We start from the raw sequence: 26,932 nt of genomic DNA on the forward strand, positions 1-26,932 counted from the left end.
ATATGATCCAGTAAAGAACAAAGCAGTTATACATGATCTCCTGTCATGAAAGTCATAGCTAAGATTCAACCTGAACTCTAACGATTTCTCCCCAAACTCCACCTTTCTGAAGCTTGTAATGAATATCCCATCAGAATCTACTGGTAGAAGTTCAGTTCTAAGAAATAAGCCACAACCCTAATTCTATTTTTTTGTTTCTGTGTACTTTTTTTTGTTTATATACATTTTTGGGACAGGGTCTGGCTGTCACCCAGGCTGGAGTGCAGTGGAATGATCTTGGCTTCTTGGCTCACTGCAACCTCTGCCTTCCAGGCTCTTAAGCCATCCTCCCACCTCAGCCTCCTGAGTAGCTGGAACTACAGGTGTGTGCTACCACATCCGGCTAATTTTTATATTTTTGGAAGAGACAGGTTTTTGCCATGTTGCCCAGGCTCAAACGATCTGCCCATCTTGTCCTCCCGAAGTGCTAGGATTACAGGTGTGAGCCACCCAACCCAGCCCCAAATTCTATTTTTGTAAGTCTGAATTTACCCCCCACCCCCAACTTATGACAAAGAAGAAAAATAAATTTTAAAAAAACCTCTTAGCTGTAACTTACTATGGTTCTAAAAATTGTCCCTGGCTTCCTTCCTTTTCACTCCAGTGAATGCTGATTTTACCTCCTTTGATCTGGTAAGCTCAGGCAGAGAATTATGTCACCAGTCTTTTTACACTACCTCCGGAATAACTGAAGTGTGCTATTCAAGCCGCCCAGGCGTTAAGAAAAAACCACATGGGAAAGGTCTTTCCCAATTTAGTAAATGCTGAAAAAAAGCAAGCTACAGAGACAAACTTCCCTTGGATGCAAATTAAAAACAAAGCTGGGGCCCGGTGTGGTGGCTCTGGCTCACGCCTTGAATCCCAGCACTTTGGGAAGCTGAGGCACGTGCATCACCTGAGGTCAGGAGTTTGAGCCGAGTGTGGTGGCTCAGGCCTGTAATCCCAGCTACTCTGGTGGCTGAGGCAGGAGAATTGCTTGAACCCGGGAGGCAGGGGCTGCAGTGAGCCAAGATGGTGCCACTTCATTCCAGCCTGGGCAACACAATGAGACTGTCTCCAAAAAAAAAAAAAAAAAAAAAAAAAAAAAAACAAAAAAACAATGCCCACAGCCCAGGGCTCTGCCACAGCAGAATGCTGCTGCCGCCACAATGGCACTCACCTGATGCTTACTGTGAGATAGATTAGGGAGGTTCTCACTTAATAGTGCTACCCTACGAATAGCAACTGTTTCAAGCTCAGGGAATCTCTTCTCACATCCACTGTGAATAACAAGGCTGCAACCTAGCACTGTATGTATTACCACTGCATGTTACTTACCTTTGTGTGCACTGTAAATTTGACTTTGTCTCTCTCACTGAGCGCATCAGGTATGTCAATCTGAAGCGAGGGATCAACATTCAGGTCCACAGATACAGATCTCAGCTGAAATACATTTTTTGCGTATTAGTTTCAAACTCATTTGGCCCTAAAAAATTATTCCAAAAATGAGTAGTTACTAAAAAGCAGTTTATACATAGATCATTTAGAAATGTCAGTTGAGCTGGGCGCGGCGGCTCACCCCTGTAATCCCAGCACTTTGGGAGGCCAAGGCGGGTGGTTCACAGGGTCAGGAGATGGAGACCATCCTGGCTAACATGGTGAAACCCCGTCTCTACTAAAAATACAAAAAATTAGCTAAGCGTGGTGGCGGGCACCTGTAGTCCCAGCTACTTGGGAGGCTGAGGCAGGAGAATGGCCTGAACACTGGAGGCGGAGCTTGCAGTGAGCTGAGATCACACCACTGCACTCTAGCCTGGGCGACAGAGCGAAACTGTCTCAAAAAAAAAAAAAAAGAATTAAAAATTAAAAAAAAGAAAAAGAAATGTCAGTTGAGACATTTCTAAGTTTATGTGAAACTGAGGGGAAACCCATTCTTCACATGCATTGGTATATCCGAAGTATTCCTGTAATGTAAACAACAGCTACAATAATGTCATGTACAATACATTTGGCCAAATACCTGACTGTACACTAAGGCCTGAACTAAATAGAACAAAATCTTGAATTCTTACATAAATGCCAAAGTACAATGAACATTCAAGAGGCATTAACCAGGCCACACAAATATCTGAAAGGAAAACCTGGGGAGATGGCACAGAGAACAGTCATGTGGAATAGGATCCTGGGTGGAGAGTTCAGAGTAAACCTGGGACTGTTTCAAATAGCCAAGGAATCTAGACAGGAGGGGTGAATTAGAAAAACCAACCAAGGCCTTACTTAATTAGCACAATCCCACTGTGGTTACACATGAGCAACAAGTGTGAGCATCACTCTGAATACTCAATTAACTGATTTTCTGAGCTGGAAATTGAGAGGAAAAAAACTACCTAACTCCATTTCTGCCCGTCAAAAAAAAAAAAAAAAAAAAGAGAGGAGAGAACAGTGGCAGCACTAATAGGAACTGGGCTATTAGGGAAAAGTGACTTAAATAAAAGTACATTAAAGCAGACAAGGTGGTGGTCAATCTGAAAACCTGACACACAAGGCACGAGGAACTCATAGCGTAAGCATCTCATTGCCCCATTCCTTTTACTGTAAGGAGTGCTAAAGTAAAGTTGTCATAACACTGGATTACCCAAAGCACGGAATGCCAAGTGAAGATTACAATTAAGAAGATGAGGTATTTCACTCCAAATTTCCCTTTGGGTCCCTTTCTTCAAAATAAAAAGTTCAAGACTAAAAACTTATGTACTTAACCTCTAAAACTTGAAAATCTGGTCAATCAGCTATAAAAAGACTAAATATATTCACTAAAAGCACATGGATTACTTAAGTTTCAAGTACTCCCTTTTTCCTTAAGCACTGTATATTTATAATTCTGAAAGCCAGAGGGAGCCTATTACAATGGCTTTCCTCCAAAAAATTAAGCTCAAGTAGTCACCAGAAGTTGATTTTAACATCAACTATTAGTAAGATCAAAACAGATACTTTTGAGTCCTCACATCTCAACCTAAGTATTTTTCTTCCACATGAATTCTTGATAACTCCTATGAAATATCTGCTTGTCTGGCTTAATTTTCACATGTCCATTTGTGAGATCTCTGCAAACAAAGATAAAGCTTCAAGGTCTGCGACTTCATTTGATCATAACTGACTCCAGCTTTGGCGTATTTTCTGATAAGAGCTTCCTTCCTTCTGCTAAGTTAACACTGGCAAATACAGCCTTTAAAAATACCTCAAATCATTAACTGAGATGTGATTGCAGAGGCTATACCAACGACTCTACTGATCTTAGGCTTATCTGTCAAGGTCAGGCAGGCCCAAGAACAGGAATAAACAGAGCCAGGCCTAAGAAGTAGCCATGGTCTCTGGAGGAGACATAGGACAGCTCACAGGACAGGTCTAAGGTGCCTTTCCCAGAGCTCAAAAACTGCCACATTTCCTAAGATTCCATTTCCTAAAGTCACAAACCCTGACTTCTAGCACTGCTCAAATGAATATGCTGACAGTTCCATTTTCGCTCACAAGCCCAGCAAACTCAGTGAGCCTGTGAACTCCACATGGGATACCCTTGGAATTCGAATAGGAGGACCCAAGGGGGATGTAATCAAGTAAATGGAGCTCATTTGTGCACCACAGTTAAAGCTGCAATGGATGCTACCAGCTGCTTTAGCTGCTTTTCGTTCCTCTGAATAATTATCTTCTCTTTTCGTCCCTTTCCCCATGTAGAGGTAATACCCCCGACTATACCTGTCTTCCTTTCTGGTTAGTATAGAAACATATTTTTTGTTTCAGAATGTGATGAAGACAAAAAGAAGAAAACCACTAGGTTATGAGTGACTGCAACCACAGCATATCAAACATCCGAGGTTCACTAGCAGCCATTTTGCCCAGACATTTCGCCCTAGGAAGGGATTCAAGCAAAACTCCAATCACTTGACATGACAGTCCTAACCACCAAATAAGCAAATAATGCAATGTTGTATTTGGGCCTTAAAGAACTGTCTAAAAGAGAGTATTGGCAAAACCCCTCAGCATCCAGGCCATCATTAACTCAATGTCCCCCAGGCGCAAGTTAAATGAACTTTCTCATATTATAGCATATAACCCTCCAGATGAGACAAACATGGGTAGAAACTTGTGAAATGACTAGAGCTTCTAAGTCAGCATTTGTACTCTCACTCGGGAAGCATCAAGTGTGACCAAAAGTTCAGCATTCCTTCTGCTTAGTCAACAAACCCACTCCACAGTGCTACAGAACTTGCTAAATAATTGCCAGGCTCCACTCTTCCCCTCTCACTTGCCTCTGCCTCCATCCCCCCTTAAGCTTGAAGGGCTCAGAGTACTCCTTAGCCCTGCTGGCCAACACTTGAGTCTCTGACTTAGGCCACAGATGTTACAATGCTTACAGTGGCCGTTTACAACAGTTAACAAAGCAGGCTTTAGAACCAAGTCCAGCCTTGGGCATGCCGGACCTTTACCATGCAAAGTTTTACCTCTTTTCCAGATCCCTTAGGTCACTTGTAAGAATCAAATTGAAAATATACCTACTCTCAAATAATTTAAGTTTTAAAACTGACTTCTGGCTGGGTGTGGTGGCTCACGCCTGCAATCCCAGCAATTTGGGATGCCAAGGTAGGCAGATCACTTGAGGTCAGGAGATCGAGACCAGCCTGACCAACATGGTGAAACCCCGTCTCTACTAAAAATACAAAAAGTGGCCAGGCACGGTGGCTCACGCCTGTAATCCCAGCACTTTGGGAGGTGGAGGCAGCTAGATCACAAGGTCAGGAGATCGAGAACATCTTGGCCAACACGGTGAAACCCCGTCTCTACCAAAAATACAAAAATTAGCTGGGCATGGTGGCGCACATCTGTAATCCCAGCTACTCAGGAGGCTGAGGTAGGAGAATCGCTTGAACCCAGGAGGCAGAGGTTGCAGTGAGCCGACATCACGCGACTGCACTCCAGCCTGGGCGATGAGAGCGAAACTCCGTCTTAAAAAAACAAACAAACAAAAAAACACACACAAATTAGCCTGGCATGGTGGCGTGCGCCTGTAATCCCAGCTACTCAGGAGGCTGAGGCAGAAGAACTGCTTGAACTCGGGAGGAGGAGGTTGCAGTGAGCCAAGATCGCACCACTGCACTTCAGCCTGGGCAACAGAGCGAGTCTCCAAAAAAAAAAAAAAAAACTACACATAAAAAACAAACCCAACAACCCAGCCTGAGCAAAACGGTGAGACCTCATCTCTATTTCAGAATTTTTAAAAAATTTTTAAAAACCTGACTTTTGTAGATTTCCCTTGAAACTACTGGATCACGTATCCAAAGTTTTAGGTAAAGTTTCAGTTCATGATGTACTTCCCTACCAGGTCAATCCTTACAATACGGATTATAATCAGCCTTCACGGTAAACAAGCACGGCTTCATTTGGAAAGCACATTTTCAACTGTTTTAAAAAATCGCAGTGCTTTTGGTAAGAGAGCCAAGGCACTTCCCTAAAAGGAGAAAAGTAGTTACGGAATCCCTGTGCATTTCCTCACCTATTCATCAGCTTCCCAGCTGGGGCACATCAGACACTGGCTGCAGGACAACCCTGCAGCTGTTGAGCTCCTGCCCACCAGTCTTCATAAACTCACTTTTGGTCCAAATTTCACTTACGACTCTACCAGCAAAGCTGCCTCTTCAAAAGGTTTAATGGCTTACAGAGGGCAAAGGGCACCTGGATGACTGAACAACACAAAAGGCAAGATTCTAAAACTCAGAACCCACCAGGAGAACAGAAAAAATACAGTTTTTTCTAAGTGGTTATGGTGACTGCAGACTCAGTGCCAAAATGAAAAAGACACAGTCCAAAGAAGTGAAACTCCACAATCTCTGATCTGTTAGATTGGGGCTAGTTGAACAGTCATTTAAATCTAATAGTCATTTGTATACAATGTAAGACATGGATACAATATGCAGTGCTAGCCTGTATTTTCCTATTTGAATATCCCACATAAATTACTACAGATAGGATAAAAAAGACACATATCTATTTAAATGACTTCCTAGTTTCCATTCCAAAAGCAGAAGATATGTACTTAAGCAGCACATGCTACAGTGTCTTCTCTTTCAAACTATCTGTTCCTAGCCTCTAGGGATTTTGTTTTGTTATGTTTCATTCCACTGCCTAAGAAACTAAGATTTTGCCAGCAAGAGGGCCAATATGACAAATCATCGATGATTCTTAGCATGGAGCCAAGAAGCCTGCCTCCTTGATCAGATTTTCAGCTGGAAAGATATCCACACCTTGCCTAGTCCAATATTTGTTAAGTGAGAATATAAAATTCAAAGATGTTCTGTCACACTCTAGATTTGTATTAATGTCCACAAATATTAAAGATTCACATGATACATATTTAGGAAACACATGCTACTTTGTTACTGTTTGAACTCTCAGGAAACAATGTTCCCATTGGTGCTCCGAATTGTTACTATTCTCTGCCATCCTGAAGATAACTAATACGTACCTATCTGTGTTCAATCTCAGCTTTAGATTATGGCACTGGTGTGTGAGAAACAACTGGTTCAACTAACTATAAGCAATATATTAACTCTGCTTTTTTTTTTTTTTTTTTGAGACGGAGTCTCACTCTGTTGCCCAGGCTGGAGTGCAGTGGCACAGTCTCAGCTCACCGCGACCTCCACCCCCGGGGTTCAATTCTCCCAGATACTCCTGCCTCAGCCTCCTGAGTAGCTGGGATTACAGGCGCCCACCACCCCACCCAGCTAATTTTTGTATTTTTAGTAGAGACAGGGTTTCACCATGTTGGTCAGGCTGGTCTCTAACTCCTGACCTCGTGATCTGCCCGCCTCAGCCTCCCAAAGTCCTGGGATTATAGGCGTGAGCCACCGCGCCCAGCCCAACTCTGCTTTTACAGGTATTGGCTCTCATTCCCTAGCCATTGGTTCTCCCCTTCCTGTAATTCAGGCCTGCAATATAATTTCTTAGTCCCCCAAGGAAAACAGAACTAAAGACTTCTAACAGAAGATCTCAGTCTACTAACATAGCTAATAGCTATTAAAGCTACTCAGGCATCGGCTTAATAAAAAACTAAAGGGCTGCAGCAAGTGATCAGATTTTCACCACTCATCTTTGTGAGATGGGTCTCAGAGGGCCCCGTCCCTGCTGACACCAACCATTCTTACCGGTAGCCTGCCAACACACAAGCAGTTCACAGTAGAACACTGCAGACTGCAGGGCATTTTCAGGCTACATAGCCTCAAGTTCCTAGAACAGGAACTGAGGCTTGGAAGAAGGTCAGTGCAGCGCACTCAGCGAATGGATAAACTGAATCATCATTTCACAAGGCTGCAAGCCCATGTACTAATGGAATCAACATGGAACCAGAGTTAAATTACTGCCTTAAATATCTAATGCATGTCAAGAAATCCATCTAATTACTAAGTACCGAAATTATAATACTTTCAAATGAATTCACAAAGCAAAACAGCTGAACTAATGATCTGTAAGGATCTCCTGGCAGATAAATCCTACTGGGAATCAATACACCACTGCTACCAAGAAAGCAGGTCCAACAAATGAATAAAAGAAACCCAGCCAGGCAGAGAGGTTCTTGTCTGTAATCCCAGCACTTTGGGAGGCTGAGGCAGGAGGATCGCCCGCGGCCAGGAGTTTGAGACAAGCCTGGGCAACACAGCAAAGCCTTAAAAAAAATCACCTAGGCTCGGTGGCCTATGCCTTTACTCCTAACACTCTGGGAGGCTGAGGTGGGAAGATCACTTGAGCTCAGGATTTTGAGTCTGCAGTGAACTACGATCAGACCACTGAACTCGAGCCTGGGAGCAGGCCGAGACCCTGAGACCCTGTCTCAAAAAGTAAAAAACAGAAATGCCAGTTTCCTTTACTCAGAGCTAAAAGCCTTCACCTACTACCCAATCCCATCATGGCTCCCTCCCAAAAGTTCACTGGCATACCATATCAAGTCAGCAAGCCCCCTTTTTTGTAGCAGGGTCTCACTCTGTTGCCAAGGCTGGAACAAGCCCTCTTCAACAAAGCTAAGATGGTCCATATTACTCATGTGGATGAGGGTGTTGAAGGACATTTACTGCCTTCCTTCATGGTCTCACTTCATGATCAAACCAAGATGCACAGGAAATAGGTTTGACAATTTACCTTTACCAAGAAAGACGATTCAGCAACAGTGGTAGAGCTGCCTGTTTGAACTTAACCTTGGTCATCTCAGTTTGAAATACAAATGGCAGCATGGAGAGCAGGCTGCCCGCTTTTTGGTTGGACATTTCTTTCACTCTTGAGTTTGAGGTACAGCAAATTTCCCAAATCATTCAGATGTAAATATTCCAATACTCAGACCAGGGGCCCATTCAGGAGGCTGAGTGCAGGAAGATGGCCTGAGCTCAGGAGTTCGATACCAGCTTGGGCAACACAGCAAGACTGTCTTGAGAAAAAGAATTCTAAACAAAATAAATACAAGAATTCAAAACAAAATTCATGAAAGATATAGGAAGGGTGAGGGAAGAAGTCCAACATTTTATCACCCACCAGCTACCAAGTATCTAACAGCACAATGTCCTAGCTCTGCGGTGCTCTTGAAAGAAAAAGTGAAAACCCTGACAAGGGAGCCATCTGGATTTGTATTCCTCACCATTTACCATGACTAGAATGCTTAGGAGTGTGCCCTTCAGAAACTGAGCTTTTCAGGCAGAAAATTAGTTTTCTCTCCAGACCATATAGGAATGCCTAAAAAAGTTATGCCAAAATGTAAAAAGAAGAGTCAAGCCAAGGACCCCCATTTTTAAACTTAAGTGTTGGCTGCCCCTCAAACTGCAACTTACTCCTCCTGGGGTACTATGGTTTGCCTTTAGGCAGCATGTGAAGGTGTGAAGATCTCTTTTAGGAGATCTTGTCAGAGTACCTCAATGGCCAATCAGAAAACAGGTATTAAGGGTGAAGAAGCCACTTTTTGGAAAGTTAGATCATGCAGAGAAACTTAATTTACACTTTAATAGCCGTTTCTCACTATTGGGATCATTAAAAGTTAGACTGTTTCCTTAAATACTATTTAACTTCACTACACACTGTTGTGACCACGGGCTATTTAAGACATTCAGGGTACTAACCTATAGATCTGTTCTCACCTAATTTGCTCGAGCATCAAGACCCTGATAATAAAGACAGAAAAATGCTGAAACAGCAGAATTTTAAACCAAGTTCCCCTCTGCAGCACAAGAAACTCAGGTAAGTTTCCAGTGTCCAAAGCCTACACTCACAAACACAAACACGAAGCCCTCCCTTTGCAACCCTCAAGTACCCAGAACCTGCTGAAGAAAACCATCTTTCACCACCTTTTGTTAAGGTTCCTCAGTATTAGTGGAAAAGCTTTATTCTCACAAAGATATCCAACAATGCTAATTTTTACATGGCATGTTATTTCCTTAGGCAAGATTAATAGAAAACCTGAAAAATTCGCAACAAGCACACAAAGACTAGCTTCTGTAACACAACCTGACCCCACCCATATCACACCATTTTAGAAGGAAGTCCGTTTAAACCAGTGATTCTCAAACAGGCAATTTTGACTTCTTATCACCATGGGAGGGGAGGAGGCCGCGTCCTAGCAGAGGCCAAAAACAGTTGCTTCACATCCTACAACCCAGAGGGCACTCCTCAACAAAAGTGATCAGGCTAAAATGTCAACAGTGCTCCCCAGGTTGAGAAACTGAATTTTAAACTCAACCTCTAGTTTAGATGACCACTAGGTCTCACCGAATGAGGAGTTTACAGCTCAGAAACAAATCTAGAAAACTTAACAGCCTTGGCCAAGCACAATGGCTCATGCCTGTAATCCCGGCATGTTGAACTGGATGGTGAAACCCCATCTCTACCAAAAAATACAAAAATTAGGTGGGCATGCTGGTGTGTGCCTGTAGCCCCAGCTACTCAGGAGGCTGAGGTGGGGGTGATCACCTGAGCTCCCCAGGTCGAGGCTGCAGTGAGTTGTGATCGTGACACTGCACTCCCGCCTGGGTGACAGAGCCAGACCCTGTCTCAAAAAAAAAAAAAAAAAAGCCTCTTGGCCATTTCTACCTATGGCCAAAATAATGTGAACAGATAATGACCTTTTAGAGTATTCACAAATGGGGATCTTAAGACACCGAGTACAAGTTACTGAACTAGAACTAAGGCGTGGGAAGCTTGATACGTCATACTTCCTCAACTTAGAAAATAGTTGCAAGGGTAGCATAAAGCTTCAGTCCACAAAGTTTGTAAGTTTGGACTTGCTATGGTATTGGTCAAAGTTCAGGATTGTTCCTATACTAACCAACTGCACTCCATTCTAGCTAATGGAGAACAAAAATACCCCTAGAGGCAGCTTCCACACCAGTTAAACACGAAACCAGAGCAGCAGTACTTAGTCTACAAACACTCCTGAGTAGGTAAGAGGACAGATATCATTCACCAAAGTCCCTGTAACCAAGCAGTAAGTTAAGGCCAAGTTGTTACTGTCAAGGAAGGAGAACCCCCTAGTTAAAAATAGCACTAGGCTGCGAAGGTCGAGTTCAAATACCAGCCTGGCCAACATGGTGAAACCCGGTCTCCACAAAAATACAAAAATTAGCCGGGCATGGCGGTGAGCGACTGTAATCCCAGCTACTTGAGAGGCTGAGGCAGGAGAATCGCTTGAACCCAGAAAGCGGAAGTTGCAGTGAGCTGAGATCGAGCCATTGCGCTCCAGCCTGGACGACAGAGCGAGACTCCGTCTCAAAAAAAAAAAAAAAATCAAAAACCAGTAAATAGAGGACCAGTTAGGAACCAAATTAACCATGCATCTCTTCCCCTGAACTATTTTCTGAGGAAGAAGGCAAACCCCAACACCCTCGGCTAAAGAATGTAACAAAATGCCAGTGTCTGGCTACCAGACACGACTGACACAGTATTCCCTTTCAGTTTTGCTGAATTGGCCAAAATGAGTATTGGGCTAGAATTCAAAATCCTGAAGAATCAAGTATGTCCCCCTACCTTAGTGAGTCTTAATTAACTCCATCCTTAGGGAGAATTCCAAACCAAAGTAAATTATCAGGAGGGCATTTAAACAATTTAAGTAACACACATTTCAGGTAACACACAAAACATTTCAGTTGACTACCGAAATTGTATTATGGCAAAAAGTTGCCCAAGACTTAGTTTCCCATTATTTCATACTTGCCCCAAACTCCCTTTCAGTTAACCATAACACCATCTAGGCCAGACCACAGCAGGTTATCAGCATCAGCAGAGATCAGAAAACAAAAATAAAGCCACGCGTCAGGGTAATTATTTATTTTTATTGTCTCTTTATTCCTGTAATGTAAAAAGGAAAACAATGTCATGTAACTCTCTTCGCTACAGATACGGACAGTTTCTGTAGCCTCTAAAACAGGCAGGAAATGGCCTTCATAACCATTCTCCAATTTTGCTGGAGGATCAGGGTGGTGGAAGTCATTTTAAAAACCAGCTGCAATATACTGTACTACCAGAGAGTGGGGTGAAGCAATTGAGTCCTTTTACCTAGCTGACTCCGAATCAAGACAGCTAAAAGAATGTACCAGAAAGAAAGAAAAAATAAAATGCTACCAAAATCCCAATCCATTATCTACCCTTTATGGAGAAAAGTACCTTTATAATGTTTTACAAAGAATCGTGGTCTCAAGTTTCCACTTTGTTTTAGTAATAAAGAACTTTCAAAAAAAAAACCACTCTAAACAACACCCTCCTGTATAGAAAGCTCTATTTTAATAATTAATGCAATGATACCCTTGTTGGAACAATCCAGCCGCTTTGAAACTCTGGTATTTACTTACTAGATGAACAAGTTTCTCTATGGAGGTGCCTTTAACTTCTCAAGAAATGTGTAAGTTAAGACGGCTCCAAATTACATTTTAAGAGAGCCTTGTATTTTTAGAGGTTCTTTTTCATCGGTCAGAAAAACTTACGTTGACGATTCTGCAAGAAAGGTTGCTCGCAAACCATGCATCGCAAAGCTACCGAGGCAAATTTAAAGAACCAATGAAAAAGAGTGGAGGCTCGTCTGAATCTTTAATTGGCTATGGGAATTTCAATTTATTGCATAAATAATCTTTTAGACCTCAAGATACACGTGACCTAGGGACAGTTTACATCAATGGGCAAGACTTAAAAATAGACACCAAGTTCAGCAAGTATTTGAGCACCTACTAAAAATTACACAACTCCCACAACAACGCATTTTGCGTTTCTAAAGTTGTAAGCAGCATGTTCGGACGCTTGATGCAATTTCCCAAGTTGTTTGGGCCCCCCCCCCAAAAAAGTCTTCTCAGTAAAAGGTGGGGGGAAGGAGGGTATTTTGGGGGCAACAAACCAAACTGGTCTGTCGCATGTTAAGTCAATTTCACGTTCACCTACTGGTCACCACGAAGCCGAGGAAAGTTTTAAAAAGAACATTCCGGGGTCTCCAGAGATCATCTCTCCAAGTCCGCTCGGCACCGGCGCCTGAGCTGGGGCTAAGGTCCCGCGTCTCTGGTTCTGTCCTAATAGAATCCGGGACATCCACAGGGATTCCCCGGGGCAGCCTTCAGTGAAGACCAGGGAGAGGGGCCGCCCGGGTCTCACGGGTGCTTCCCGCGCTGGGGATGGCGGCGAGCAGCCACGGCCTATGGACGCGCAAGGGAAAGAATGCAGCGACCCCGGAGCTCGCAGGGCCGCCCGCCCAGGAGTCTGAGGCTGGGAGGACCTCACCTTGCTGCGGTCCTCCTCCTGCTGCTGCAGCAACTCGGGAACCGCGGCCATGGCGACGCGGGACTCGAGCAGGGGCCGCCTGGCTGTGCGAGGAAAGAAGAAGCTGGGCCGCCGCCGCCGCCGCCTGGGCGCCTCTCGGGGGCGGCCACGGCCCCGCCTCCGCCGGCCTCCCTGCCCGACGGCGGCAGGAGGCCTCCGGACTCCGCCACCATCCCAGCTGCCCCGGGAGCAGGCGAGCAGGGCGCCACGTGCTCCCCCAGAGCAGCCTCCCAGTCCCCGCTGCCGTCCATCTTGGAGCCGGGCAAAGACGCCACGTGGGGCCTACCCTTGCTCCGCTCCACGAGGAGGCCGCCAACCGCAGGGCCGCGACACGGACGGGAAGCAACGGACACTCTCCCAGCAAGACGCGTCTAGAGAAAGACCGCGTTTCGGTGCGGGGGGAATTTATTACTCAGCCCGAGTCCAAGATGGCAGCGAGCGCTGACGTCACCAGATCTCGTGAGAGCAGAAGGGCGCGATTTGGAGGCTCCCGCGCTTCGGAGACGCCGGCCCTTCCGCTCGGAGAGGTACTCCCTGCCTCTAACTGGTGGCGCGTTGGCGGAGGCCGACGAAAGCCTCGGGTGGGGCGTGAGCGCCGCGGGGCATTCTGGACCTGCTTTGCCTTAGGCTGTGCCTAATTCGAAACCAAAGCGCGGGACGGATGAAAGTACGGGTCGCGAGAGGTTGTTCGCGCCTTGAGAGTTAAGCGAAGTGTGGTGGCTTCCAAGGTACCGACACTTGCCGTAGGCTGGGCTTTTATTTAAGTCGTCTTTTCTCTAATCCAGACTCCTGCCACAGGGGCCACCGCCGTCCTGGCCCCGCCAGGGGTCCGCACCCACGGCGGAGCGGGAGGCGACTTTTTGCGGTCACAGTAATGGGACCTCAGCGCCGCCACCAGCTCTGACCGGCGAGCGACGGGACCCTCCAACCCGATTTCCACGTCTGTGCAACGGGTTCATTCTAGACCCACGGTAGAGGGTGTGAGGACCAAATGAGAAGTATCCACACAGAATACTTAGCAGAGAGCCTGGTGTCTAGGAATTAGTCGTCGTCTGTCACCTAGGACTGTGTGGCCGCCATGGGACGGGCTCCATCTTTGTGTTTTTCCGTGTCTCGCACACGCCTCCCTTCCTGGGCGTCACATTCCTGCAGATTAGAAACTGGGACGTCTTGCCTCAAGCTGTCTACTAATTCGCATTTAGTATGTGTCGGTCCTTCGGGTATTGAGTCTTGATTTATTTATAAATTTTTTTTGGAGGCAGGGTCTCGCTCTGTCGACTTTCTTAAGAAAGGGCTCTGTCCAAACATGTCGAAAAAGTTCACAATTTTGATGTGCAATATCATTCTGATGCAGCTTTCGCTTTGATGGTTGTTTTCTCTCCAATAGGAATACAAACATAAAGGCCTTCGACCGTTGCAAATAGACTAAAGTGAAAACAAATCTGAATGAAGATGAAGTTATTTCAGACCATTTGCAGGCAGCTCAGGAGTTCAAAGTTTTCTGTGGAATCAGCTGCCCTTGTGGCTTTCTCTACTTCCTCTTACTCATGTGGCCGGAAGAAAAAAGTGAACCCATATGAAGAAGTGGACCAAGAAAAATACTCTAATTTAGTTCAGTCTGTCTTGTCATCCAGAGGCGTCGCCCAGACCCCGGGATCGGTGGAGGAAGATGCTTTGCTCTGTGGACCCGTGAGCAAGCATAAGCTGCCAAACCAAGGTGAGGACAGACGAGTGCCACAAAACTGGTTTCCTATCTTCAATCCAGAGAGAAGTGATAAACCAAATGCAAGTGATCCTTCAGTTCCTTTGAAAATCCCCTTGCAAAGGAATGTGATACCAAGTGTGACCCGAGTCCTTCAGCAGACCATGACAAAACAACAGGTTTTCTTGTTGGAGAGGTGGAAACAGCGGATGATTCTGGAACTGGGAGAAGATGGCTTTAAAGAATACACTTCAAGTAATTATCTCAATTCTGATTCTATATGTTTGCTATGTTTTCTATAATAGAGAGCAACGGTGTCAAAAGAATGAGGTTTGGTTTTGTTTTTTTAACTTACTAGCAAGGAACTCCCTTCAGATAGTAATTAACATTAAATAGCACTTTATGTGTATTAACTCACTTGATCCTCATGGTAGTCCTGTGGAGTATAGATACTGTTATCCACATTTTACAGATGAAACTAAAATAGATCAAATATTTGACTAAATAATACATAAAATTCACTTGTTTTATAAGCTACCAACAATATTAGAATTGCTTGTTTTCCTTGATTATTGAAAAAAGTCACCTGGTAACAGAATTCTAGTTGTTTGCTAGATAATTCTGTTTAGAATCCAGTAAATACCCACTGTCCTACTTATTAGCGTAAACTGACTCGTAAATTTAAAGACCTTGAAGCAGACCAGAACACATGACCTATATTTAGACCTTGGTAAACATAATCAGAGGTTCTTCATAAGGATCTGAGGATAAATACACTTTAACCTTCAACTTCTAATTTACTAACTTGGACAAGTGAGGAGAATAGCTTCCTTAAATTTAATATTCCATTCAAAAACAAAGACCATTGGCACTGGTGAATTAGCTAGTCCCATAAATTATATAGGGGTCTTTTGTTAAAGGAAAGTTTCACATCAATCATTCCTTTACCCAAGCTTCCCAAAGTGCAGTACATGTACTCTTAGTAGTACACAAACTCTTTCATTTTTGTTTTAAGAATAGTGTACTGACCCTTGCCATAGCCTGGGCTTCTATTTAAGTCGTCTTTTCCCTAATCCAGACTCCTAAAACTATGCGTGTAACACATTAAACATGTCACATGTTCTAAAGAAAAATACTAAGTATATATAGGTGGTATTGGATATGTACCAAATGGTCAAGGCCTTTGCTCCTTATAATATTCCTCAGCTGTGTGGGGCAAGGATTATATATGCAAGAGCTAACTGCCTTCCTAAGATAGTTAATTAGTAGCAACCACCAAACTATTGTCTGCTTTCCAAGCAAGCAACATAAAAATCTTCTAATGGCATCTTACAGTTTTGTATTTGTACCACTAAAATTTAGAATTGATAGTTTTCTCATGAGAAGTTATTTTCCTTAAACCAGGAATGTACAGCTGAAATTACTAATAAGAAATGTATTATTAAAAGGCAGAAACCTGCTGGAACACATGGGACCCCAGGGCCTGTAGCTCTTGGCACAAAGTAAGGAAGTGCACCAGAGAGGAATTTCTGTTTGGAATGTGAATGAGCCCCAATAGCCCAGGCAGAGAGAAGACTGGTTGTTTTTTTTTTCATAGAGTCAGCTTTGTTGATCTAGATTAGCACTCAGCTGTGTTTCTCAGTTAACTCAGTAGCAACCTTAAGAAATGAGCAGAATCGCTTACCCCAGCACCCCGCCCAGACTTGACCGCCGGGACCCAAGTGATTCTCCCATCTCAGCCTGCTGAGTAGCTGGGACCACAGGCGTGCACCACCATGCCTGGCTAATTTTTTTATTTTTTGTAGCGACAAGGGTCTCCCTATGTTGCCCAGGCTAGTCTCCAACTCCTGTCTTCAAGTGGTGCTCCCACCTCGGCCTCCCAGAATACTGAGACTACAGGTGTGACCCACTGTGCCCAGGCAGAATCACTCTTTTTAGAAAATAAGTATTAGTAAGCAGTGGGTTCTGAAATAAATAAAGGGACAATTAGTGTCATGGTGAATAAAAGAAAAAGGGCTCACTAAATTGATTAACGGGTCTGGAGGATACTGGATCCCAAACCCAAGAAGGTGGCACCCAAGAAGAATTACATTTTAAAAATTAAGAAGATTTTTTTAATGAAAAATATTGGATCAGTAATTTCTACCCAGTCTTCTCAAAGGTGAGAGCATAGAAATGTGTCTGGCATTCTTCCAAATACTTGAGCAGTTTCCCAAGCATCAGTTCATCTTTTGAAGACTGGTGGGAATGAGAAAGTCTGACTTATTCTGATTTATATTTTGTGTATAAATACACACAAAGGGATGGGGTTTAGGTTTTAATTTTTTTTTTTTTTTTTTTGCTACGCTGATTTAATCCTGAAGTATTAGCCATCCTGCCAGTTCCATCATGAGAATACTGGAGATGCATGAAGGTTTTTTTTAGTGCACTTCATATACGAGGACTTGAAAACATTTCACTTTCATTACTTTGAGTGAATAAGCAGACTTGATGCTACATGCAGTGAATATTCTTGGATCATTTTTTATTTTTATAAATTGAATCATGTTGAATGTTCTGAGCCTTAGTGTCTAAAGGATCCTGTAATCTAGGTTTTCATGTTTGTGATCATGTGTATATGAAGAACCTAGCCAGGGGTAAGTTTGCAGCGAGAAATGTATGGTCTATTGGCATGGCATTTGCTAAGTTTTTTTCTTCCTGTTTTTAACATGTTTGTCTTCTGCTTCATTAACCTAGTGTGTAGATGAATGCTATACACTTCTTTTTCCTAGGCTTTAATTCCATCAGTCATAAATTTCTTGTAGGTCTTTCACGTGTTAATAATTCCAATTGAGTCAAGTAAATTTGGAGTAGAATAACTTAGTTCCTAAGTTGAATTTCATTTAACTCTCCAAATAATTTTTCAGAAGGGATTCCATTTTTTGCTAATGATAGAATTGACATTTCCAGCTGGGCATAGTGGCTCATGCCTGTAATCCTAGCACTTTGGGAGGCCGAAGCAGGCGGATCACTTGAGGTCAGGAGTTCAAAACCAGCCTGGCCAAAATGGCGAAACCCCATCTCTACTAAAAATACAAAAAAATTAGCCGGGCGCAGCGATCACTTGTAATCCCAGCTACTACGGAGGCTGAGGCAGGAGAATCGCTTGAACCTGGGAGGTGGAGATTGCAGTGAGCCGAGATCATACCACTGCACTCCAGCCTGGAAAAAAAAAGAATTGACATTTCCATCTTTGTAAAAAATAGTTGAAGGCCGAGTGCAGTGGCTCATGCCTGTAATCCCAGCACTCTGGGAGACCAAGGTGGGACGATTGCTTGAGGCCAGGTGTTTAAGACCAGCCTAGGCAACGTAGAGAGATTGCATCTCTACAAAAAAAAAATTTTTTTGAATTAGCCAGGCGTGGTGGCACATGCCTGTAGAGGAAGCTGAGACAGGAGGATTGCTTAAGGCCAGGTGTTCAAGGTTACAGTGAGCAATGATCGAGCCAGTACACTCCATCCTGGGTGACAAGTAAGACCCTGTCTCAAAAAAAAAAAAACTTGACAAATGTAAAGTTGTTTTCCGCCTTTTCTGTGGGTCTCTCTGCAAGCATGTTCCAAGCACGTGTATTTCCTGCTCTGTTTCTCTGAGTATCTAATTGGTGATTTCCAAGATTGCTTCCTTTGCTCTACTGTGTGGTAGATTGGAAACAGATTCTGGTGCCAGGCTGCCTGTCCAGCTTTTTGCTTTGGGGCAAATTAACAGCACTGCCTGGTGGGATAGGGCCTCATTCATTAAAATGGGGGTAACTTACAATCCCTATTTTGCTGGGTTGTTGGGTTTGAAAATTAAATAATGTTTTGAAAGCTCCAAGGCCATTGCTTAGCATAACAGTCCCCCCTCTTTCTCTCCTCTTACTAAGAAACAAGTGAATATATTTCTTGTGTTTGTTGAGTCTCTTTGTGTGTTTTTTTTTTTTTTTTTTTTTTTGAGATTGTCTTGCTCTGTCACCCAGGCTGGAGTGCAGTGGCATGATCTTGGCTCACTGCAACCTCTGCCTCCTGGGTTCAAGCAATTCTCCTGCCTCAGCCTCCAGAGTAGCTGGAATTACAGGCATGCGCCACCACACCTGGCTAATTTTTGTATTTTGAGTAGAGACTGGGTTTTACCATGTTGGCCAGGCTGGTCTTGAACTCCTGACCTCAGGTAATCCGCCTGCCTTGGCTGCCCAAAGTGCTGGGATTATAGGCATAAGCCACCATGCCCGGCCATGTTCCCTTTTTTAAAATGTGTATGAGGAGGGGGCTTACTATGCAAGCGCTTGGAGGCCAACGAGCACTGAAAATGAGGAGAGAGTTCAAAAATCAAGTTAGATCCTGGGATACGCCAACAAATCCAGACACTACAGTTCTTTCGGAGAAACCTGGGGACGAAAAGTAAGGCTTTGACCTCAGAAAATGAACATACAGGAAAAATAATGTGTCCTAATGTGTCCTAATGAAATTTCTCTAGTATTCACATGTTATAAAATGTTAGGAAGAAAGAAGATGTGTCCTCCTACAAGCCATAAATCAGAATTCTAATAATCTAAAGCTAATTAGAAAAATATTACATGTTAAATATTAAATATTAGAATAGAAAAATGTATGAGGGAAAAAAATTGAGACACAGCTGAATTTTTCAGGCTGTTCCAGCACTAAAAAAAAAATACAGGAGAAGAATGTCACATATTTTCCTCTTCCTCCCCCTCCAGATTCCATAATATCAAATTCATAACTTTTCATTTGCGCATGCCTTATTTTCCATTCCTTGTTTGTCACTAATCCTGTTAGTAAAAGGATTCCCCCACCTATGTTCATAATTAAGTTTTGGTCTAAAAAGAACTACAAACAGAAGCACAGTTCCCTAGATTTCTAATTTTTTTTTATTTTATCACAGCCAGTTAACTTATTACATTGGATACTTAAACACATAGTACCATAAACTGGATGTGGTCTTGTAGCCGCCAGATCTTCAGTTTTGACTTTGGCCCAATTCTCCTAGAAGTACTTAATTTTAATTCATTTTATTACCTAACGTCCTATTAATAATCCCGTTGGTTTCAAAGTATATTCTTAGGTTTCACAAGAGGCTGAAATTTGGTCTTAGGGGTTGTCACTTAAAAATAACTAATGTAATTTTTGGCCGGGCACGGTGGCTCATGCCTGTAGTCTCAGCACTTTGGGAGGCCAAGGCTGGCAGATCACGAGGTCAGGAGTTCGAGACCAGCCTCACCAATATGGTGAAACCCCATCTCTACTAAAAGTAGAAAAATTAGCCAGGCACGGTGGCGGGCGCCTGTAATCCCAGCTACTCAGGAGGCTGAGGCAGGAGAATCACTTGACCCCAGGAGGCAGAGGTTGCAGTGAGCCAATATCGCCCACTACACTCCAGCCTGGGCGACAGAGGGAGACTCCATCCAAAAAAAAAAAAAAGAAAAAAAAATGTCATTTTTAATTGTATTGTTTCAGGGCGTTTTAGAGTATTTGTTTTTCAGTGTTAGCTTTGTTTGTGTTTCCCCCCTCCCCTTTTCCCTGATTTTCTTTTCAGACGTCTTTTTACAAGGGAAACGGTTCCACGAAGCCTTGGAAAGCATACTTTCACCCCAGGAAACCTTAAAAGAGAGAGATGAAAATCTCCTCAAGTCTGGTTACATTGAAAGTGTCCAGCATATTCTGAAAGATGTCAGTGGAGTGCGAGCTCTTGAAAGTGCTGTTCAACATGAAACCTTAAACTATATAGGTCTGCTGGACTGTGTGGCTGAGTATCAGTAAGTATGAGATTGGAGGTGAATTAATACAGCGTAGGACAGATGGTGCCTGTCAAAGGTGTGCCTGTAGGTACTGTAGCCTCTGTCTGTTTAATGTCCAGACCTTTGTGCTAGGTAAAAGAATTGGGTGGGGCGGGGTTGAGAACAGGTACAAGGAGAAGAGCCACGTAACCTTTGTCATCCAGTACTCCAAAATCAAATTGTTTGCTGGAGAAAGGTATATTCTTTGTTTGTTTGTTTTGTTTTGAGACGGAGTGTCACCCAAGCTGGAGTGCAGTGGTGCAATCTTGGCTCACTGCAACCTCCGTCTCCCAGGTTCAAGCGGTTCTCCTGCCTCAGCCTCCTGAGTAGCTGGGACTACAGGCATGCACCACCGCACCTGGCTAATTTTTGTATTTTTAGTAGAGACAGGGTTTCACCATGTTGGCCAGGCTGGTCTCAAACTCCCGACCTCAAGTGATCCATCCACCTTGGTTTCCCAAAGTGCTGGGATTACAGGCGTGAGCCACTGCACCTGGCCGAGATTTTTCAATCTCCCTAACATGGCCTGTTTGCCAGCCTGTCCTTCCCCTCCCCCAAAGCAAGGTACCTGCCATAAGATCCAATTTCATTCCTGCGTTTTCTTTCCTGTTTTTCTAAAGATAGCACCATGATCTGTTGGTTCTGAAAATCAACTCTTCCTGGCTTCCAGGCAGTGCTTGACATGGATCAGAGATCTGAACTTACTAAAGCTTCCCATGGTTGTTTTGTTTTGTTTTGTTTCGTTTTGTTTTTTGAGACGGAGTTTTGCTCTTGTTGCCCAGGCTGGAGTGCAGTGGTGCGATTTCAGCTCACTGCAACCTCCATCTCCTAGGTTCAAGCTATTATCTTGCCTCAGCCTCCCAAGTAGCTGGGATTACAGGCATGCGCCACCATGTGTGGCTGATTTTGTATTTTTAGTAGAGATGGGGTTTCTCCATGTTGGTCAGGCTGGTCTCGAACTTCGGACCTCAGGTGATCCGCCTGCCTCAGCCTCCCAAAGTGCTAGGATTGTAGGCATGAGCCACCACGCCCGGTCCCCATGGTTTTTATATCGTAGCTGTCTTACTGTTTTACTCAGGTACTTCAGAGTCCAAGTGTTACAGGAAAGGGGTCCTGATCCAGACCCCGAGAGGGTTCTTCGATCTCGGGCAAGAAAGAATTTAGGTTGAAGGCAGGCACAGTGGCTCACGCCTGTAATCCCAGCACTTTGGGAGGCCGAGGTGGGCAGATCACCTGAGGTCAGGAGTTCAAGACCAGCCTAGCCAACATGGCAAAACTCCGTCTCTACTAAAAATACAAAAATTAGCCAGGCGCAGTGGTGTGTGCCTATAGTCCCAGCTACTCGGGAGTCTGAGGCAGGAGAATCACTTTAACCCGGGAGGCAGAAGTTGCAGTGAACCGAGATGGTGCCACTGCACTCCAGCCTGAGCAACAGGTGAGACTCTGTCTCAAAAAAAAAAAAATAAAAGAAAGAAAAGAAAAAGCATTCAGGATGAGTCTGCAGTGCAAAGTAAAAGCAGGTTTATTAATAAAGTAAAGTAGTGGAAGTATAGCTACTCCATAGACAGAGCAGGGCGTTCCTGAAAGTAAGAGGAGGAACACTTCCACCCTAAGTACAGTGCTCATATATATAAGATAAAAAAAGAGATCTTGGGGAGATGTGCTCTACTGCAAGGGTTTGTGATAAAGGATTAATTTTCTTAATTATTATATTTTGCAAGAATCGATACTATCTTTAAAGCAAAATTAGGAATGCCTTCGTTCTCCAGATATCAGGGTATCTGGACACTCCCAAGTCTGGGTCTGTTTAGTAAACATTATTAATTTGTTCCCTTAACCTTAAACATCTAGAGGCTATGAATGCCTGACTTTCTGGGAATGCAGCCCAGCAAGGCCCAGCCTCACTTTCCTAGCCCTCACTCAAGATGGAGTTGCTCTCGTTCGAACGCCTCTGATACAAAGGTGGCTACAACCTGCAGGTACCCCTAATCCAAATAAGGCAAGCGATCACTAAGAACAAGATAGAAAAATCCGTTCATGTAAACCTTGAAGCTCTAGTTAAAATTTAAGTTTAAAAGCTTGTCTATTCCACAGCCCAATACAAATTCGTAAACTTTCTTAAAACATTATGAGATTTTTTTTTGGTTATTTATTTATTTATTTTTAGTTCATCAGCTATTGTGTGGCCCAAGACAATTCTTCCAATGTGGGCCAGGAAGCCGAAAGAGTGGGCACCCTTGATAGTCTGAAAACTGTTTAGACCACCTAATGGTTTTATTTTTTATTTATTTATTTTTGAGACGGAGTTTCACTCTTGTTGCCCAGGTTGGAGTGCAATGGCGTGATCTTGGCTCACTGTAACCTCTGCCTCCTGGGTTCAAGCGATTCTCCTGCCTCAGCCTCCCAAGTAGCTGGGATTAGAGGTGCACGCCACCACACCCGGCTAATTTTTGTGTTATTAGTAGAGATGGGGTTTCGCCATGTTGGCCAGGCTGGTCTCGAACTCCTGACCTCAGGTGATCCACCCACCTCAGCCTCCCAAAGTGCTGAGATTACAGACGTGAGCCACCGCGCCTGGCCTAGACCACCTAATGGTTTTATAGCACAACTGCGTCATATCTGAGAAGAGCCCTGTATACCAAGAGATTTAATAGACTTTGGTTGCCTTTTAGATAAACCAAGGAAGCCATACAGTCACCTCCACCCAAGGCCTACAAGAAGTTCCTGACACCCAATGCTTGTCATAGAGATGATAAAATATGTCCATAGCACTGTTGTTTGTTTTTTGCTTTTTAAGTCAACATCAACCTTGGTAATATGAACATTTTTGAAACTACGGTTTTTTTTTGTTGTTTTTGTTTTTGTTTTTGAGACAGAGTCTTGCTCTGTCACCCAGACTGGAGTGTGGTGGCCCAATCTCAGTTCACTGCAACCTCTGCCTCCTGGGTTCAAGCAATTCTCCTGTGTCAGCCTCCCCAAGTGGCTAGGACTACAGGCACCCACCACCACGCCTGGCTAATTTTTTGTGTTTTTAGTAGAGATGGGGTTTGGACATGTTGCCCAGGCTGGTCTCGAGCTCCGGGCCTTGAGTGATCTGCCCGCCTCAGCCTCCCAAAGTGCTGGGATTGTAAGTGTGAGCCACTGCACCCAGCCTAGAATTTTTTTTTTTTAAGACACAGTTTTGTTCAGTTGCCCAAGCTGGAGTGCGGTGGCATGATCTCGGCTCACTGCAACGTCCACCTCGCAGGCCCAAGCGATTCTCCCACCTCAGCCTCCTGAGTAGTTGGGACCACAGATGCGAACAACCACGCCCAGCTAATTTTTTTGTATGTTTTGTAGAGATGGGGTTTTGCCATGTTGCTCAGGCTGATCTAGAATTCCTGAACTCAAGCAAGCTGCCTGTCTCCGTCTCCCAAAGTGCTGGGATTTACAGGTGTGAGGCACCGCGCCCAGCTAAGAATTTTTTATTTTTGTTATTTTTTTAATTTTATTTATTTATTTTTTTGAGATGGAGTCTTGCTCTGTCACCCAGGCTGGAGTGCAGTGGCGCGATCTCGGCTCACTGCACGCTCCGCCTCGGGTTCACGCCATTCTCCTACCTCAGCCTCCCCAGCAGCTGGGACTACAGGCGCATGCCACCACGCCCGGCTAATTTTTTTTTTTTTGTATTTTTAGTAGAGACAGGGTTTCACCGTGTTAGCCACAATGGTCTCGATCTCCTGACCTCGTGATCTGCCCGCCTCGGCCTCCCAAAGTGCTGGGATTACAGGTGTGAGCCACCGCACCGGGCCTAATAATTTTTTATTTTATTTTAGTTTATTTTTTTGAGGCAGTCTTTCACTGTCACCCATGCTGGAGTGCAGTGATGCATTCAGGGCTCACTGCAGTCTCTAACTCCCCAGGCTCAGGCTGTCCTTCCACCTCAGCTTCCCAAATAGCTGGAACTACAGGGATGCACCACCACACCCAACTAATTTTTCTATTTTTTGTAGATGTGGGGTCTCACCATTTTGCTCAGGCTGGTCTTGAACTCCTGGGCTCAAGTGATCCACCACCTCAGCCTCTCAAAGTGTTGGAATTACAAACGTGAGCCCCTATGCCTGGCCGATTTTGTTTTTGAGAAGGAGTTTTGCTGTTGTCGCCCAGGCTGGAGTACAATGGCGAGATCTTGGCTCACTACAACCTCTGCTTCCCGGGTTCAAGTGATTCTCCTGCCTCAGCCTCTCTAGTAGCTGGGATTACAGGCGCCTGCTACCATACCCAGCTCATTTTTGTATTTTTCATAGAGACGGGGTTTCACCATGTTGGCCAGGCTGGTCTCAAGCTCCTGACCTCAGGAGATCTGCCTGCCTCGGCCTCCCAAAGTGCTGGGATTACAGGTGTGAGCCACTGTGCCCGACCCCACTGAATTTTTAATGGGTAATATGCTATTAAGAGTAACTCCCCACACCCACTCTGTATTGAACCTCTGTTTAAAAAGCTCCTGTGTTCCTGAGATATTGTATGACCATATGTACAATCATTTGTCCCCACACTCATTTTTTAACACAAGATGATATACCCTGCTTTTTTCCACTTAAAAAAATTATTTAAAAAAAAATCAGGCTGGGCGCAGTGGCTCACACCTGTAATCCCAGTACTTTGGGAGGCCAAGGCAGGCAGATCACGAGGTCAGAAGATTGAGACCATCCTGGCTAACACGGTGAAACCCCATCTCTACTAAAAATACAAAAAGTTAGCCAGGCATGGTGGCAGGCGCCTGTAGTCCCAGCTACTTGGGAGGCTGAGGCAGGAGAATGGCGTGAACCCGGGAGGCGGAGCTGGCAGTGAGCTGAGATCACGCCACTGCACTCTAGCATGGGTGACAGAGTGAGACTCCATCTCAAAAAAAAAAAAAAAATCTTTTATTAGTTTATATAGATCTGTAACATTCTTTTCTCATGTAATAATTTTCCACCACCCACAATTAACACTTAACACTGGTGCATTTGCTTAAAACTTTTTTTTTCCTTATCCCTGTGATTACATGGAGATCTTTTTTTTAAAGAAATATAATATTACAGATTAACCCCAAATTCTGTTGAACCACCCGTGGCCAAAGGCGATTGCTGTTTTAAGTTTGGCACTACCTCCTTCTAGTCTGCCTTCTACGCTCTTTTTTGTTCTTTTCTTTTTTTAATGACCAATGATCTGTGACACAGCATCAGGAGAACCTAAGAATATGTGCCCTCTATACTCTTAGCACACACATAATGCTATGTATAATACACATGCATAGGCAGCACTTATGTATGATTTCATGCAGAACTGTGACAGTCATAATATACAGACATCTCTAGATACACAGCATCACAAAGCTAGTAAGATATTGGGCTCAGGAGCCAGCTGCTTGAGTTTGGATTCTGGCTTGGCTTTTCATCTTAACCTTAGATTAATTACTTAGTCGCTCTCTGTCTCAATTTATTCATCTTTAAGATAAGACAAATGGTAGTACCTACCTTGTTATAAAATGAGATATTCCCTGAAGAGTGCTTAATGCATACTATGTATTCAGTAGATGTTACATTATTATTTTGATCTACTTCTTTTTTTACTTTTTTATAGAAATAATTCTTGCTGTGTTGCCCAGACTAATCTAGAACTGGGAAGGAAGTATGATCCTCACCTCAGCCTCCCAAAGTGCTGGGATTACAGGCGTGAGCCACCTTGCCCAATCTACTACTCGTGTGTGTGTGTGTGTGTGTGTGTGTGTGTGTGTGTGTCAGAGTCTCGCTCTATTGCCCAGGCTGGAGTGCAGTGGCACAATCTGGACTCACTATAACCTCCGCCTCCCAGGTTCCAGCAATTCTGCCTCGCCCTCCTGAGTAGCTGGGATTACAGGTGCCTGGCTAATTTTTTTTGTATTTTTAATAGAGACAGGGTTTTGCCATGTTGGCCAGGCTTGTTTCGAACTCCTGACCTAAGGTGATCCACCCATCTCAGCCTCCCAAAGTGCTGGGATTACAGACTTGAGCCACTGCACCTGGCCCTACTTCTCTCTTAACTCGTTTTTTGTATTCTTTTGTATGAATGAGCCTTACCCATTTCCCTATTGGGAACACTCAGATTATTTCTAGTTTTCCACAATTACAAACAGTGCTGCAGCAAATGTGCCTCTTTGTATATTACAGAGCTGTTCTAGGCAGATGCACAGATTCATTTGTTTATTTATTTTTTTTCTTGAGACGGAGTTTCACCCTTGTTGCCCAGGCTGGAGTGAAATGGTGCGGCACCGCAACTTCCACCTCCTGGGTTCAAGCGATTCTCCTGTCTTGTACTCCCAAGTGGCTGAGATTACAGGCATGTGCCACCATGCTCAGCTAATTTTTTGTTTTTAGTGGAGACAGGGTTTCACCATGTTGGCCAGGTTGGTCTCGAACTCCTGACCTCAGGTGATCCACCCACCTCAGCCTCCCAAAGTGCTGGGATTACAGACATGAGCCACCATGCCTGGCCTGTTTGTTTTAGACGTGTGATATATGCAGTTACAATCCATTTAGTTGGTCTGAAGTAGACCCGGACATGACTGCTTCTTAAATCTCCCA

At 44.1% G+C, this 26,932-nt stretch overlaps 2 protein-coding genes and 1 non-coding gene across 19 annotated transcripts in view, besides 12 other annotated features; 1 reads left to right on the forward strand and 2 right to left on the reverse strand.

Annotated features, from left to right (window-relative positions):
* Positions 1-13,218, reverse strand: part of SNX5 (sorting nexin 5) — a 27,195-nt gene extending 13,977 nt beyond the window's left edge. The window contains exons 1-3 of one of the 3 annotated variants that reach the window (NM_152227.3): positions 13,124-13,218; positions 12,799-12,881; positions 1,357-1,461 (exon numbers count right to left, since the gene is read on the reverse strand). In NM_152227.3, the coding sequence (NP_689413.1) occupies positions 1,357-1,461; positions 12,799-12,849 (156 nt within the window). In that variant the 5' untranslated portion in view covers positions 12,850-12,881; positions 13,124-13,218. Of the gene's footprint in view, positions 1-1,356; positions 1,462-12,798 lie in introns of all 3 variants that reach the window. The other 2 variants (NM_001282454.2, NM_014426.4) reach the window with 2 other exon arrangements.
* Positions 5,686-5,855: an enhancer, noted in NCBI's record as "active region_17572". NCBI's record gives its function as "activates an Ori minimal core promoter by ATAC-STARR-seq in GM12878 lymphoblastoid cells {active_cell/tissue: GM12878}" and the evidence as "EXISTENCE:reporter gene assay evidence [ECO:0000049][PMID:35858748]".
* Positions 7,134-7,370, reverse strand: SNORD17 (small nucleolar RNA, C/D box 17). The gene has a single exon (NR_003045.1). It is a non-coding gene; the product is annotated as a small nucleolar RNA, C/D box 17 (small nucleolar RNA).
* Positions 10,634-10,713: an enhancer, noted in NCBI's record as "active region_17573". NCBI's record gives its function as "activates an Ori minimal core promoter by ATAC-STARR-seq in GM12878 lymphoblastoid cells {active_cell/tissue: GM12878}" and the evidence as "EXISTENCE:reporter gene assay evidence [ECO:0000049][PMID:35858748]".
* Positions 11,931-12,685: an enhancer, noted in NCBI's record as "NANOG-H3K27ac-H3K4me1 hESC enhancer chr20:17948150-17948904 (GRCh37/hg19 assembly coordinates)". NCBI's record gives its function as "activates a minimal SCP1, AML or CMV promoter by ChIP-STARR-seq in naive and primed H9 embryonic stem cells {active_cell/tissue: H9 hESC(naive and primed)}" and the evidence as "EXISTENCE:reporter gene assay evidence [ECO:0000049][PMID:30033119]".
* Positions 12,547-12,596: an enhancer, noted in NCBI's record as "active region_17574". NCBI's record gives its function as "activates an Ori minimal core promoter by ATAC-STARR-seq in GM12878 lymphoblastoid cells {active_cell/tissue: GM12878}" and the evidence as "EXISTENCE:reporter gene assay evidence [ECO:0000049][PMID:35858748]".
* Positions 12,647-12,816: an enhancer, noted in NCBI's record as "active region_17575". NCBI's record gives its function as "activates an Ori minimal core promoter by ATAC-STARR-seq in GM12878 lymphoblastoid cells {active_cell/tissue: GM12878}" and the evidence as "EXISTENCE:reporter gene assay evidence [ECO:0000049][PMID:35858748]".
* Positions 12,647-13,440: a biological region, named in NCBI's record as "NANOG-H3K27ac-H3K4me1 hESC enhancer GRCh37_chr20:17948905-17949659".
* Positions 12,686-13,440: an enhancer, noted in NCBI's record as "NANOG-H3K27ac-H3K4me1 hESC enhancer chr20:17948905-17949659 (GRCh37/hg19 assembly coordinates)". NCBI's record gives its function as "activates a minimal SCP1, AML or CMV promoter by ChIP-STARR-seq in naive H9 embryonic stem cells {active_cell/tissue: H9 hESC(naive)}" and the evidence as "EXISTENCE:reporter gene assay evidence [ECO:0000049][PMID:30033119]".
* Positions 12,847-13,056: a silencer, noted in NCBI's record as "silent region_12699". NCBI's record gives its function as "represses an Ori minimal core promoter by ATAC-STARR-seq in GM12878 lymphoblastoid cells {active_cell/tissue: GM12878}" and the evidence as "EXISTENCE:reporter gene assay evidence [ECO:0000049][PMID:35858748]".
* MGME1 (mitochondrial genome maintenance exonuclease 1) overlaps positions 13,014-26,932 on the forward strand; it is a 22,533-nt gene continuing 8,614 nt past the window's right edge. For 2 of the 15 annotated variants that reach the window (NM_001310338.2, XM_006723663.5), the window contains exons 1-4: positions 13,442-13,565; positions 14,225-14,794; positions 17,131-17,175; positions 20,108-20,327. In NM_001310338.2, the coding sequence (NP_001297267.1) occupies positions 14,284-14,794; positions 17,131-17,175; positions 20,108-20,327 (776 nt within the window). In that variant the 5' untranslated portion in view covers positions 13,442-13,565; positions 14,225-14,283. Of the gene's footprint in view, positions 13,365-13,441; positions 14,039-14,224; positions 14,795-17,130; positions 17,176-20,107; positions 20,328-26,932 lie in introns of those variants that run through there. The other 13 variants (XM_017028128.2, XM_047440586.1, XM_017028127.3 and 10 more) reach the window with 10 other exon arrangements.
* Positions 13,057-13,366: an enhancer, noted in NCBI's record as "active region_17576". NCBI's record gives its function as "activates an Ori minimal core promoter by ATAC-STARR-seq in GM12878 lymphoblastoid cells {active_cell/tissue: GM12878}" and the evidence as "EXISTENCE:reporter gene assay evidence [ECO:0000049][PMID:35858748]".
* Positions 13,948-15,147: an enhancer, noted in NCBI's record as "CDK7 strongly-dependent group 2 enhancer chr20:17950167-17951366 (GRCh37/hg19 assembly coordinates)". NCBI's record gives its function as "activates an origin of replication core promoter dependent on BRD2, BRD4, P300/CBP, MED14 and CDK7 cofactors, with strong dependence on CDK7, by STARR-seq in HCT116 cells {active_cell/tissue: HCT116}" and the evidence as "EXISTENCE:reporter gene assay evidence [ECO:0000049][PMID:35650434]".
* Positions 14,087-14,286: an enhancer, noted in NCBI's record as "active region_17577". NCBI's record gives its function as "activates an Ori minimal core promoter by ATAC-STARR-seq in GM12878 lymphoblastoid cells {active_cell/tissue: GM12878}" and the evidence as "EXISTENCE:reporter gene assay evidence [ECO:0000049][PMID:35858748]".
* Positions 14,307-14,436: an enhancer, noted in NCBI's record as "active region_17578". NCBI's record gives its function as "activates an Ori minimal core promoter by ATAC-STARR-seq in GM12878 lymphoblastoid cells {active_cell/tissue: GM12878}" and the evidence as "EXISTENCE:reporter gene assay evidence [ECO:0000049][PMID:35858748]".

The sequence above is a fragment of the Homo sapiens genome, chromosome 20, assembly GCF_000001405.40.
Source record: "Homo sapiens chromosome 20, GRCh38.p14 Primary Assembly".
Lineage (NCBI taxonomy): Eukaryota > Metazoa > Chordata > Mammalia > Primates > Hominidae > Homo > Homo sapiens.